The sequence below is a fragment of the Homo sapiens genome, chromosome X (genome assembly GCF_000001405.40).
Source record: "Homo sapiens chromosome X, GRCh38.p14 Primary Assembly".
NCBI lineage: Eukaryota > Metazoa > Chordata > Mammalia > Primates > Hominidae > Homo > Homo sapiens.
The window spans coordinates 19,849,786-19,861,930 of record NC_000023.11 but is presented as its reverse complement, the minus strand read 5'-3'; the positions used below and the strand labels follow the sequence as shown (position 1 = coordinate 19,861,930).

The following is a 12,145-nucleotide window of genomic DNA, read 5'->3' as shown; positions in this document are numbered from 1 at the left end:
GTTGACTTCTTGGAGGGCCAAAGAACAATAAAATCTGTTTATTATGACAGTGTTTTGAGAAAGTCAGAGCATGAGCAGAAGAACATCCAGGAACAGTTCACCAGAGAGTTCTTCACCATGACAATGCTCCTGCTCATTCTCATTCCTCGTATCAAACAAGGGCAATCTTGTGAGAATTTTGAGGGGAAATCATTAGGCATCCACTTCACAGTCTGTATTTGGCTCTGACTCCTTTTTTGTCCTAATCTTTAAAAAAAATCTGTAAAGATCACCTATTTTCCTTCAGTTAATAATGTGAAAAAGACTGCATTGACATGGTTAAATTCCCAAGACCCTCAGTTCTTTAGGGATGAACTAAGTGGCTGGTGTCATCACTTGCAAAAGTGCCTTAACCTTGATGGAGATTATGTTGAGAAATAAAATTTATAATTTTATCTTTTAATTCTATTTTCCATGAACTTTTTGAAGTCCTCATATAGTACACTGTTTCTTTTTTAGTGTGGATTGCTATTTTTTTTATTATTTATTTTTATTTATTTTTTATTTATTTTTTTGAGACAGAGTCTTGCTCTGTCGCCCAGGCTGGAGTGCAGTGGCGGGATCTCGGCTCACTGCAAGTTCTGCCTCCTGGGTTCATGCCATTCTTCTGCCTCAGCCTCCCGAGTAGCTGGGACTACAGGTGCCTGCCACCACGCCTGGCTAATTTTTTGTATTTTTTAGTAGAGACGGGGTTTCACCGTGTTAACCAGGATGGTCTCGATCTCCTGACCTCGTGATCTACCCGCCTTGGCCTCTCAAAGTGCTGGGATTACAGGCGTGAGCCACCGCGCCTGGCCTGCTGTTTTTATTTTTAACTTTTTATTTTGAACAAACTTTAGACTTATGGAAAAGATGCAAAAATGGTATAGTTTCCATATATCCCTTTCCCAGCGTCCCATAATGTTAACATATTATATAATCATAGTACTATTATTAGAATCAGGAAATCAACATTGCTATCATACTATATATCTAAATGCTATATGCTAAATACTATACTATGCTATACTATATCTAATACTGTACTATAGATCTTGCTTAATTTCATCAGGGTTTCCACTAAGGTCCTTTTTTTGTGGTTGTTCTAGGTTCCTCTTCAGAATCCGTGTTGCATTTAGTTATTTCTCCTAGTCTCCTGCAGTCTGTAACAGTTCCCCAGTCTTTCTTGATTTTCATGACCTTGATGCTTTTGAAGAGTTATTTTGTTGAGTATCCCTCAAATTGGATTGGACTGGGGTTATGCCTTTTAAAAATCATGGTAAAATATACATAACATAAAATGTACGATTTTAACCGTTTTAAGTGTACAATTCAGTGGCATCACGTACATTCTCAAGGTTGTGTAACCATTATCTGTTTCCAGAACTTTTTCATCATCTTAAACAGAAACTCTGTACCCATGAAGCAGTTACTTTTCATTCCCCCTCCCCCCAGTCCCTGGTAATCACACTTGTACTTTCTGTCTCTATGATTTTGCTGTTATGGGTACCTCATATAAGTAGAATTATACAATATTTATCCTTTTGTGTCTGGCTTCTTTGACTTAGCTTTTGAGGCTCATCCATGTTGTAGCATGTATCAGTACTTCTTTTTTTTTTTTTTTTTTTTTTTAGAGGTGGGATCTCACTGTGTTGCCTAGGCTGGAGTGCAGTCACTGTTCACAGGTGGGATCATAGTGCATTACAGTCTTGAACTCCTGGGCTCAAGTGATCCTCCTGCCCCAGCTTCCCGAGTTGCCGGGGCTACAGGTGTGTGCCACTGTGCCTGGCCTGTTCCTTTTTAAGGCTGGGAATAATATTCCATAGTATGGATAGAGTACATTTTGTTTAGCCATTCATCTCTTGGACACTTGGGTTGTTTCTACCTTTTGGCTAGTGTCATTTATGCTGCCATGAAAATGGATGTATGAATACTTGGTTCACATTTTAAAAGGAACTTGGAGAAACTGGAGAAGAGACAGTTTGGAGCAGGCAGAAAAAGGCACTATTTTGTGTTTCCCATCCCTGACTGAGGCTTTCACAGAAGCAAGGGAGATTGAGATGCAGTGGGGCAGGGAGATGGCAAGTGGACTCAGAGACAGGTGCCAGATGGTTGAGAGGCCAGGAGGGGACAGGGAGCCCAACCTATTATACTTGTCCAAAGGTGCTGCCACTAGGGGAATGCCCAGAAGGTGCAAACAAGCCCACTGGACAGGGTCAAAGGCCTAGGAACCAGTAGGAGAATGGGTTAAGACCACGATTTGCTGCAGAAAGCACAGTTTGCTCCACACCACCCAGAGCCAGGCAGGATGGTATAGGCATGGGTTGGGTTGAAAATTAAGTCCACTTAATATTTCTTCTTGATGTTTTTCAAATTTGGGGGACTATCTTCCAGTAAGAAATATATCTTACCTTGCAGCCTTGTAAACACACCTGTCTTTAGTTATGATTGAAATAGTAATTTCAGGCTGGGCATGGTGGCTCATGCCTGTAGTCCCAGAACTTTGGGAGGCTGAGGCGGGTGGATCACCTGAGGTCAGGAGTTCAAGACCAGTCTGGCCAACATGGTGAAACCCCGTTGCTACAAAAATACAAAAATTAGCTGGGCATGATGGCAGGTGCCTGTAATCCCAGCTACTCAGGAGGCTGAGGCAGGAGAATAGCTTGAACCCAGGAGGCAGAGGTTGCAGTGAGCCGAGATTGCACCATTGTACTCCAGCCTGGGCAACAGAGCAAGACTCTGTCTCAAAAAAAAAAAAAATAGTAATTTCACAACAAACATTTGATGTGCTCTCATATTTTCTATGCAGTTCTGTTTCATTAAAAAATGCTTCTTGTGACCTGGGTTCCTGGGTTGCCTTCATCTTGAAAACACTGTACTACACAAAGCCTCATATGCGAAGTTCTTTCTGCCAGTTACTTTTCTTTCTCTATCAAGTTTTTGTCCCTTTCCAGTTGGAAAATGTAAACCATGTAATTGATCACGTTTCTCTTTTTGTTTTGGCTATGAGGCAACACAAACCTTGGCTTGACCAAGCGATAGGTTTCTATATGGCGGTCATATACTGTACATACTGATGCCTTAACTTTTCCTAGCTCTTGACCTTCTAGCTATATTTTTCCTGATTCTAATTGGTCATATATTTTTGTTTTGTTGAATTCTTGGGAGCTGCCACAAATCTATATGGAGTGTGATGATGGAATATATAACAAATCATGGAGAACTTTTGATCTTGACTGAGATAAATTGTTGAGTAAAGTCTGCATCTTTAGAGATTTTGTTTTTGAGACAGGGCTTTGCTGTGTTGCCCAGGCCGGAGTATAGTGGCATGATCATGGCTCACTGCAGCCTCGAACTCCTGGGTTCAAGCCATCCTCCTGCCTCAGCCTTTGGAGTAGTTGGGACTACAGGTGTGTACCACCACACCTAGCCAATTAAAAACAGTTTTTCTTTTTGTAGAGATGGGATCTCACTATGTTGGCCAGGCTGGTCTTGAACTCCTGACCTCAAGTGATCCTCCTGCCTTGTCCTCCCAAAGTGCTGGTATTACAGGTGTAAGCCACTGCACCTGGTGAGATTTTATTTTTTTTGTGAAGCACGGTCTGGGCGATATGATTTTCTTTTAGCTTTATGATTCTCCGGTTTACTTTTCTGGCTTTTGTTTCAGATTACCTAGAAAGCAACCTCTTCCTTTTTAATTTAATTTTATTTATTTTATTTTTATTTTATTTTTTAAGATGGAGTCTTGCTCTGTCAACTATCCTGGAGTGTAGCGGCACAATCTTGGCTCACTGCAACCTCTGCCTCCTGGGTTCAAGTGATTCTCCTGTCTCAGTTTCCTGAGTAGCTGGGATTACAGGCGTGCACCACCACACCCAGCTAATTTTTGTGTTTTTAGTAGAGACAGGGTTTCGCCATGTTGGCCAGGCTGGTCTCGAACTCCTGACCTCAAGTGATCCACCCGCCTCGGCCTCCTGAAATGGTAGGATTACAGGTGTGAGCCACTGTGCCCAGCCCCTTTCCTTTTTAAAAAAAGGAATTTATCATAGTGGCAAAGGTAGAATTCAAGGAAGTTTGGAATTAGTGTGGAGGGAAGGTGTCATTTCATCTTTAATTAAGGCCGTTTTTACTTGTACTCACATTGCATAGAATTCTGTTTACGCAGGTGTTTTTGTTTGTTTGTTTGTTTTTTTAACAGAATCTTGCTCTGTCGTCCAGGCTGGAATGCAGTGACACAATCTCAGTTCACTGCAACCTCCGCCTCCCAGGTTCAAGCGATTCTCCTGCTTCAGCCTCCCGAGTATCTGGGATTATAGGCGCATGCCACCATACCTGGCTAATTTGTGTATTTTTAAAGAGATGGGGTTTCACCATCTTGGCCACGCTGGTCTCAAACTCCTGACCTCAAGCGATCCACCCATCTTGGCCTCCCAAAGTGCTGAGATTACAGGTGTGAGCCACTGGGCCCAGCCACAGGAATGTCTCTTAATCAAGCTCCTTGCTTCTATTCCCCTGCCTCATCTCAAGTTCCCATTCCCCTACTTGATTTACCATGTTTGCTGTCTAACTAGTGTGTTCCTGCCACCTGCAGCCTCTGCCCATGAGTCCTTCTGCCGCAGGTGTCATCAGAGAACACATATTTATAGTTATACTTCCTCTCTGCTCCCAAACCTCCAGTTACTCCCCAGACTTGCGGATAATGCAGTCTTTTGAGCTTGTATCAAGGACAGAGCCCATCTTGCCAATTGATTAGAGCACCCCAGCTTTCACCCTGCCCTCCCCGCCTCCAGTCCTTAGGTTGGAAAGCTCTGAGAGAGGATGAAATGGACAGACCATCTGATGCATATGGACCTCTTGAGAGATGATTTAGACCAGGGAGGATGAGTTTGGAGTTGAATCCATTTTTAAGTGAACTCTCCACTAAGCAAAAAAAAAAAAAAAAAAAAAAAAAAAAAAAAAAAGACTAGTATTAGCTCTAGGGGAAAAGAAACTAGTGATAGGAAAGAAACATAATCTTAGTGTACCATGTGGCTAGGCTTTTAGTAATGTTTGTGTAGTCATAAGGATGTAAATACTTGTGTTAGTTTTGTAGGGCTGCCAGAACAAAGTACCATGGATTGGGCACCTTCAACAACAGAAATGTGTTGTCTCACGGTCCGGGAGGCTGGAAGTCTGTGATCAAGGTGTTGGTGGGGTTGGTTCCTTTTGAGGGCCATGAGGTTCCTTTCGAAGGCTGTAGTTGCCTCTGGGGAGGGGAAGTTGGGGAGAATGAAGAATGCTTTTTTTCCATAAGAGACCTTTACAGCTATTTGAAACTTTAACTGAGTGTGAGGGTGACTTGGGTGACCTGGGTCAGCATAGCCTGTGCCGCCTGCACCGAGCTGCTCTTGCCTTCATTCGAGGTGAGAAAAGGAAGTGGGGATGTTATCGGCCTTAAAGGTCGCTACTGACAAGAAGTGAAGTCTTGGGCTTTCTGAGGCCCGTTTATCATTTCATTCTAAAATAACCCAATAGTTACTTTTTAGCTCCTTATATGAGATCTACTTTAAGATACTCCAAAGCAGGGCTTTTTGGGGGAGGGTAGTGTAGTTTATTGCATTTTTGTAATTCTTCAGAAGATATCTACTTTCTTCTCTCTGTTGCAGTTATTGATTTAGAAGCAAGCTAGGAGCATATGACAGAAACTGTCAGTAACCCACTCTGAAGTTAATTTTGTTTTGGTTACAGGTAATAGTTTCATGTCTACTTCTGTGGGGAACAGCAGTGATAGATTTCCTCTCCTTTTTTTTTTTAAAAGCTTTCCTTTTACCTGTGCAAACCTCTCAGTCTCCCCATGCTCCCATGATGCGATGGGGGAGACACTGAACACCCAAATGGGCATTTCTATCTGCAGAAACCCTAAGTTCCTTCTACTGGTGTTAAATAGCTTGTGGAATGTGTTAGTCTGTTAAGTAGCCAGTGGAATGAATGTATTAGGTCATCTGTGGAAACAATTAGAAGAAAAAAATCTGGCAAAGGAGCAGACCAGGAAAGTTTAAAAAAAAAATCCTTTCTGGCACGCAGTTCAATTAGATTAGTATGAGTTGTTAGAAATTAATGTTTGCGGTGTCAGTGAGCACACTTAAACGACAAAAAAGAAACTCAGTTGCAGTATGTGGCACATCATTAAACATATACTCAGATGTTTATTTAAAAAGTATAGATCTGTATTTCTTGTATGTGTAGCACTGAGCCAGGTAGAGGCTATGTGTAGCACTGAGCCAGGTAGAGGCTATGTGTAGCACTGAGCCAGGTAGAGGCTAAGAGTAAATGAAAATATATAATACCTGGTCCTTTCTCTTAAGGAGCTTAAATCTGTTTGGAGGTAGCAAGACATAGAATGTAAAAGATAATGAAAGGGTTAAAATAACAGTCTGAGACAGGGATCAGCAAACTATAGCCTACAGCTAAAATCTGGCCTTCTGATTATTTTTGTAAATAAAGCTTTATGGAACACAGCCTCACTCATTTATGTTTGTTGTCTGTGGCTGCTTTAGTGCTGTAAAGGCAGATTTGAGGTGTTAGAGTGGAACATTGGTCCCACCAAAGCTGAAATACTTACTATCTGACTCTTTAAGAAAAAGCTTACCGGCGGGGCATGGTAGCTTATGCCTGTAATCCCAGCACTTTGGGAGGCTGAGGTGGGTGGATCACCTGAGGTCAGGAGTTCGAGACCAGCCTGGCCAACATGGTGAAACCCCCTCTCTACTAAAAATACAAAAAGTTAGCTGGGCATGGTGGTGCGCACCTGTAATCCCAGCTACTCAGGAGGCCGAGGCAGAAGAATCGCTAATTGCTTGAACCCAGGAGGCAGAGGTTGCAGTGAGCCGACATCGCACCACTGCACTCCAGCCTGGGTGACAGAGTGACATTTCATCTGAAAAAAAGAAAAAGAAAAAGCTTACCAACTCCTTGTCTGGGATAATAATTCAAAAGATGTTACAAAGCAGTGTATGAGGAGTAAAAGTGATTTAGTGAACGCTATAGTTAGTAAGTCTGAGAATGATGGAATGACAGGTGGCTTGAAAAAGGGTTTTGAAGGTGACCTCAGACCAAGAGATTGGAGGGCACTTTGTGATGTAAAGAGTTGGGAAGGAGATTTCATGGATGGGAGCATCCATGGGGCTCTTGGGGGAAGATCGTGTGGGGAGATGGGGACCAGGACTATCCAGCTGGACTTAGAGCCAGGTATAAATGCAGGTGACGTTGTTAATGTCAAACCTGTACCATATTGAAGCGGCCTTTGAGTTCCAGGATCAAGACTGGGAACTTCCTCAAACCCATAATATCTTTCAAAGGCAACACTCATTTACACAATCAATATTCATTCCAGACCTATTATGTGGTTGACTCCAAGGGGATGTTAACATACATGTAGGCACATCGCTCTCGTAGACTGGTGAGTCCAGCTTGTTTGACTCAGTGCTAGTTCTAGGTATGTTTAAAGAAATAGCTGCCGGCTGGGCGTGGTGGCTCACACCAGTAATCCCAGCACTTTGGGAGGTGAGGCGGGCAGATTGCTGGAGGTCAGGAGTTTGAGACTAGATTGGCCAACATGGTGAAACTCCGTCTCTACTAAAAATACTAAAAATTAACCGGGCGTGATGGCACATGCCTGTAGTCCCAGCTACTCAGGAGGCTGAGGCAGGAGAATTGCTTGAACCCAGGAGGCAGAGGTTGCAGTGAGCCGAGATCATACCACTGCACTCCAGCCTGGGCAATAGAGCAAGACTCCATCTCAAAAAAAGAAAGAAAGAAAAATTGTCATTTAGAAGAGAGGTTTAACCTCAAGACCCTCCAAAGGCTGCTAATACCAGGAGACTTGTATGGACAGGTAGTCTCCCATTCTGTGAGGACAGTGTTCTAGAGAGAGTCTTTGAGAAGGGACTTCTGGCTGTTGTTTTTTTTTTTAGATGGAGTTTCGTTCTCTCTTGCCCAGGCTGGAGTGCAGTGGTGCGATCTTGGCTCACTGCAACGTCTGCCTCCCGGATTCAAGCGATTCTTCTGCCTCAGCCTCCCAAGTAGCTGGGACTACAGGCGCCCACCACCACGCCCGGCTAATTTTGTATTTTTAGTAAAGATGGGATTTCACTATGTTGGCCAGGCTGGTCTCGAACTCCTGACCTCAGGTGAGCTGCCCGCCTTGGCCTCCCAAAGTGCTGGGATTACAGGCGTGAGCCACTGCATCTGGGCGAGAAGGGACTTCTGAAAAGGAATGTTGTGTAGGTGAGAGATGTGCCAGGGGGAAGGGAGGAGGAGAACCCCCACCCATCCTTAGACACTGTATTGTCCTTCCTTCCTTTTAGGGCTTCTGTGCTGTCTACCATTTTTTTTCTGGGTCTGCAAAGCTCCCTGCACATATCCTCGCAGGGTGTGCTTCCACCCTTTAGGTACCCAGCCCTATGCAGTTGGTGAGACATCATAATGTTTCCACATGCCACCATCTCCCCTACTCCCTGACCACCCCCTCCAAGCCTGTATCCTGCTGTCTTGGCATCTGTTAGGCACTGAGCTTCCCCACTTTCCCTAGATCAGTCCTGCCACAGGCCACTGAGCTCACCTCAAAATCCTTTCTCTCCTACCTGGACACAGCCCTGGGGCACCTGGGCCCTGCTTGTCTCTGGCCCTGCAGTGGTCCTCATTGTCACCCATTAATGCTTCCATTTACTTCTCTCTCACTCTTTTTTCTTTTGTAAATTAAAACACACACACACACGTGCACACGCACATACACACACATACACAGAGACAGAGATAAAAGAAAATTCTGTAGTGCATTTTGCAGTGAGTTTATTCCAGACTTTCTCTCCTCAAGCTCCTCAAATTCTCTTCTCACCTGACCCTAACCAAGAGATGACCTTGATTCCTGTTTAAGAGAAGGCGTCAACTCGCTTGTGTACTCTCATCTTCATGGCTTTATATCACTGTTGTAATGTTGATCCACTTTTATCCAATGCCAGAGAAAGATACCCTTCCTTCTTTTTTTTATTGTTCTCTGACTTCTCTCCGATCATGCATTCCTGACTCATCTGCCTGTTGTCCAGCATGGTGACCCTGTCCCCGCAGACCGTCAGTAAGTACTTACTGGATCAAAGAGCCATTCTGTCTGAGAAAATGTCAGCTAAGAATGTAGAAGGGCAGCAGGCCTAATTTGGCCTGGTTTCATATTTGAACCTACTGCCTATATTCATGTGTGCAATTGGGTATGTTCGTGGATTTTTTTTTTTTTTTTTTTTTCTGTGCAGCTACAGTATCTGGAACATATGTCTCAGAAAATCTTTATTGATTGAAAAAAATATGAGCAGGAACAGGGGCAAGAAGACGGACTTTGAGTCCAGACTGGCTGGCGGCTGGAATATTATCTGATCTCTCTGGGAGTTGGATTCTTTCCTAAACCAGGAACAATAATAGGCACCTTGTAGAGCGTATTCCAGTTCCTGTTGCTGTGTGACAAATTACTCCAAAATTTAGCACCTTCAAAAAGCCATTTTATGCTTACCAGTTTTGTGGGTCAAGCATTTGTACAGGGCGTGGTAGGGAGGGCTTGTTTCAGCTCTACAGTGTCTGGGGCCTCGGCTGGAAAGGCCTGAGGTTTGGAGTGGACATGACAGCTGGGGGCTGGAACGATCTGAAGGCTGGGTCCCTCACATGTTGGGCCAGGCTGGGATGACTCAGTAACTAGGCATGCCAGCTGGTGTGTCTCAGTGCAAATTGGCTTCCTTACAGCATGGCTGTCTTGGGGTATTCCAGCAAGTGAGTTGGAAACTGCATAATATGGCCTAGAAGTCACACAGCATCACTTTCCTCCACTCTGTTGGTCAAAGTGGTCACCAGCCTGCCCAGGTTCCAAAGCCCGGGGAGGAAGATTAGATTTCTCCTGTTGACAGCTGGATCACATTCTAGAAGAGCTCAAGGGACAGGAGATGTTGCTGTAGCCATCTTGGAAAACACAATTGGCCACAGAGTGATCGTTACAGTTAAATGATACAGTGAGGAGGATAAAGGCACCTGACACAAGATTTTAAGAGTATATTTTCTGCCGGGCATGGTGGCTCATGCCTGTAATCCCAGCTACTCAGGGCGTCGAGGCAGGAGGATCAGTAGAGGCCAGGAGCTCTAGATCAGCCTGGGCAACATAGTGAGACCCCTTCTCTACAAAAAATAAAATAATTATCTGGGCATGGTGGCAGGTGCCAGTAGTCCCAGCTACTCAGGAGGCTGAGGTGGGAGGATCTCTTGAGGCCAGGAGGTTGAGGCTGTAGTGAGCCATGATCGTGCCACTGCACTCCATCCTCGGTGACAGAGTGAGACCCTGTCTCAAAAGAGTATATTTTCATTTGGTAAACATTTATGAAGTTCCTACTATATATCAGGCCGGTCCTGGGTCTACAGAGGCAAACAAAGCAGACATGCTGTCTGTCCTCCTGTAGCTTTCAGTCTAGTGGCGGACACAGGCAGTAATCACATGTAATTAGATCTGGAAATTCCTCCTCCTTTTCTGGACAGGGGCTGGTGAAACATCTGGATTCGTGTGTTGCATTTTAAGTGTTTTTCTTTTTTTTCCCCAGTGAATGATGAGGAAGGGGATCTGCCCATTGTTAATGTGGAACCTCTTGCTGCTGTTTGTTTTGTTTTGATACTTCTACAGATCTGGAGGCTCATAGCACTGAAAGGTGCCTTGTCAGGCTTGAGGTCTGCAAGCACCCCCTGACCCTTTTGTTCAGCTTCAGACTTATGTTTCTCTTTCTGCAAAAGGGATTTAGGAGAGTAGTAGGGGTACATAGAGTCACCTGGGAGATCATCTTCAGCCTAGACATGACCCACCCTGCCCCCCGCCCCATTCTGATGGGAACCAGGGTGTGGAGGAGACAGGCATGAGAAAGTTTCACAGGGGATTCTAACATCTCTGGGTGAGGAACCCAGTGTGAGATGGGCCAGCGCTTCCCAAACCATCCCATGCATGTGAGTGTCCTGGGGATCTTATGATGCAGCCTCAGATTCAGTAGGTCTCGGGGAGGCTGGGGGATGCCTCTGAGTAGTGAGGGTATGTGGAGTACCAGGCGGGTACAGATAGAGATGCCTGTGGAAGTTTGCTGCACCCTGACGAAAGGGCCAGTTCTCAGAGAGTTAGGGTGCTGAGGGCTAGCCAGGTGAGCTACCAGATTTCTGTCATGTTTCAGCACGCAATTCTTACAGATAATTACTCTGCTAAAAACCATAATCACAATATCACTTTTACACCTAAACAACGCAAACAACAGCCTTCCTTATGTAAAACACATCTCAAGAAACTCAAATTCAGAATGTTGGCAGAGGTGGCCTTGTCCACACTCATAGATCTGGTGTAGAACACACTTTTGATTGTGCTACTTACTCATTTTTAAGTAGCTTATATGTATTTTTTAAGTAGCTTATATATCCCAGCACTTTGGGAGGTCGAGGCGGGCAGATCACTTGAGTTCAGGAGTTCGGGACCAGCCTGGCCAACATGGTAAAACCCCGTCTCTACTAAAAATACAAAAATTAGCCAGGCATGGTGGCGCGTGCCTGTAATCCTAGCTATGCAGTAGGCTGAGACATGAGAATCACTTGAACCCAGGGGCAGAGGTTGCAGTGAGCTGAGATCGCACCTCTGCACTCCAGCCTGGGAGACAGAGCAAGACTCTGTCTCTAAAAGAAAAAAAAATTATAGATGCCCAGTACCCTTTATAACAAATTCAAATATTGAAACATACATATGTATACAATACACACATTTAATATTTTGTTGCCTTTAAAACCCCCATCTTCCTTTCCAGGTGCATTGCTATGCCCAGCATGGTCAGCTGAATCATTTGTGAAATAGTGATTACACCAGCTAGAGTTACGCCAGCATAAAGATTTGCATGTTTTCAGTTCAGTGTAGGACATTATTCTTCTACTTGCACATGTAGAGCATTTTAACAATCCGGAAGTGTTTCAGCATATATTTTGTAAAGATAAGGACTCTTTTCAAAACCATAATCACAATCATTTTTACACATACAGCAACTAACAGTGTTTCCTTATCATCAGACATTTAAGTTCAAATATCCAATTTTTACATGTA

The 12,145-nt window shown here is 44.1% G+C and overlaps 1 protein-coding gene across 7 annotated transcripts in view, besides 1 other annotated feature; it reads left to right on the top strand.

The window, feature by feature from the left end:
- The window catches only part of SH3KBP1 (SH3 domain containing kinase binding protein 1), a 353,624-nt gene that overhangs the window by 25,670 nt on the left and 315,809 nt on the right, over window positions 1–12,145 (top strand). The window lies entirely within an intron of this gene.
- Window positions 5,329–5,508: an enhancer, noted in NCBI's record as "active region_29470". NCBI's record gives its function as "activates an Ori minimal core promoter by ATAC-STARR-seq in GM12878 lymphoblastoid cells {active_cell/tissue: GM12878}" and the evidence as "EXISTENCE:reporter gene assay evidence [ECO:0000049][PMID:35858748]".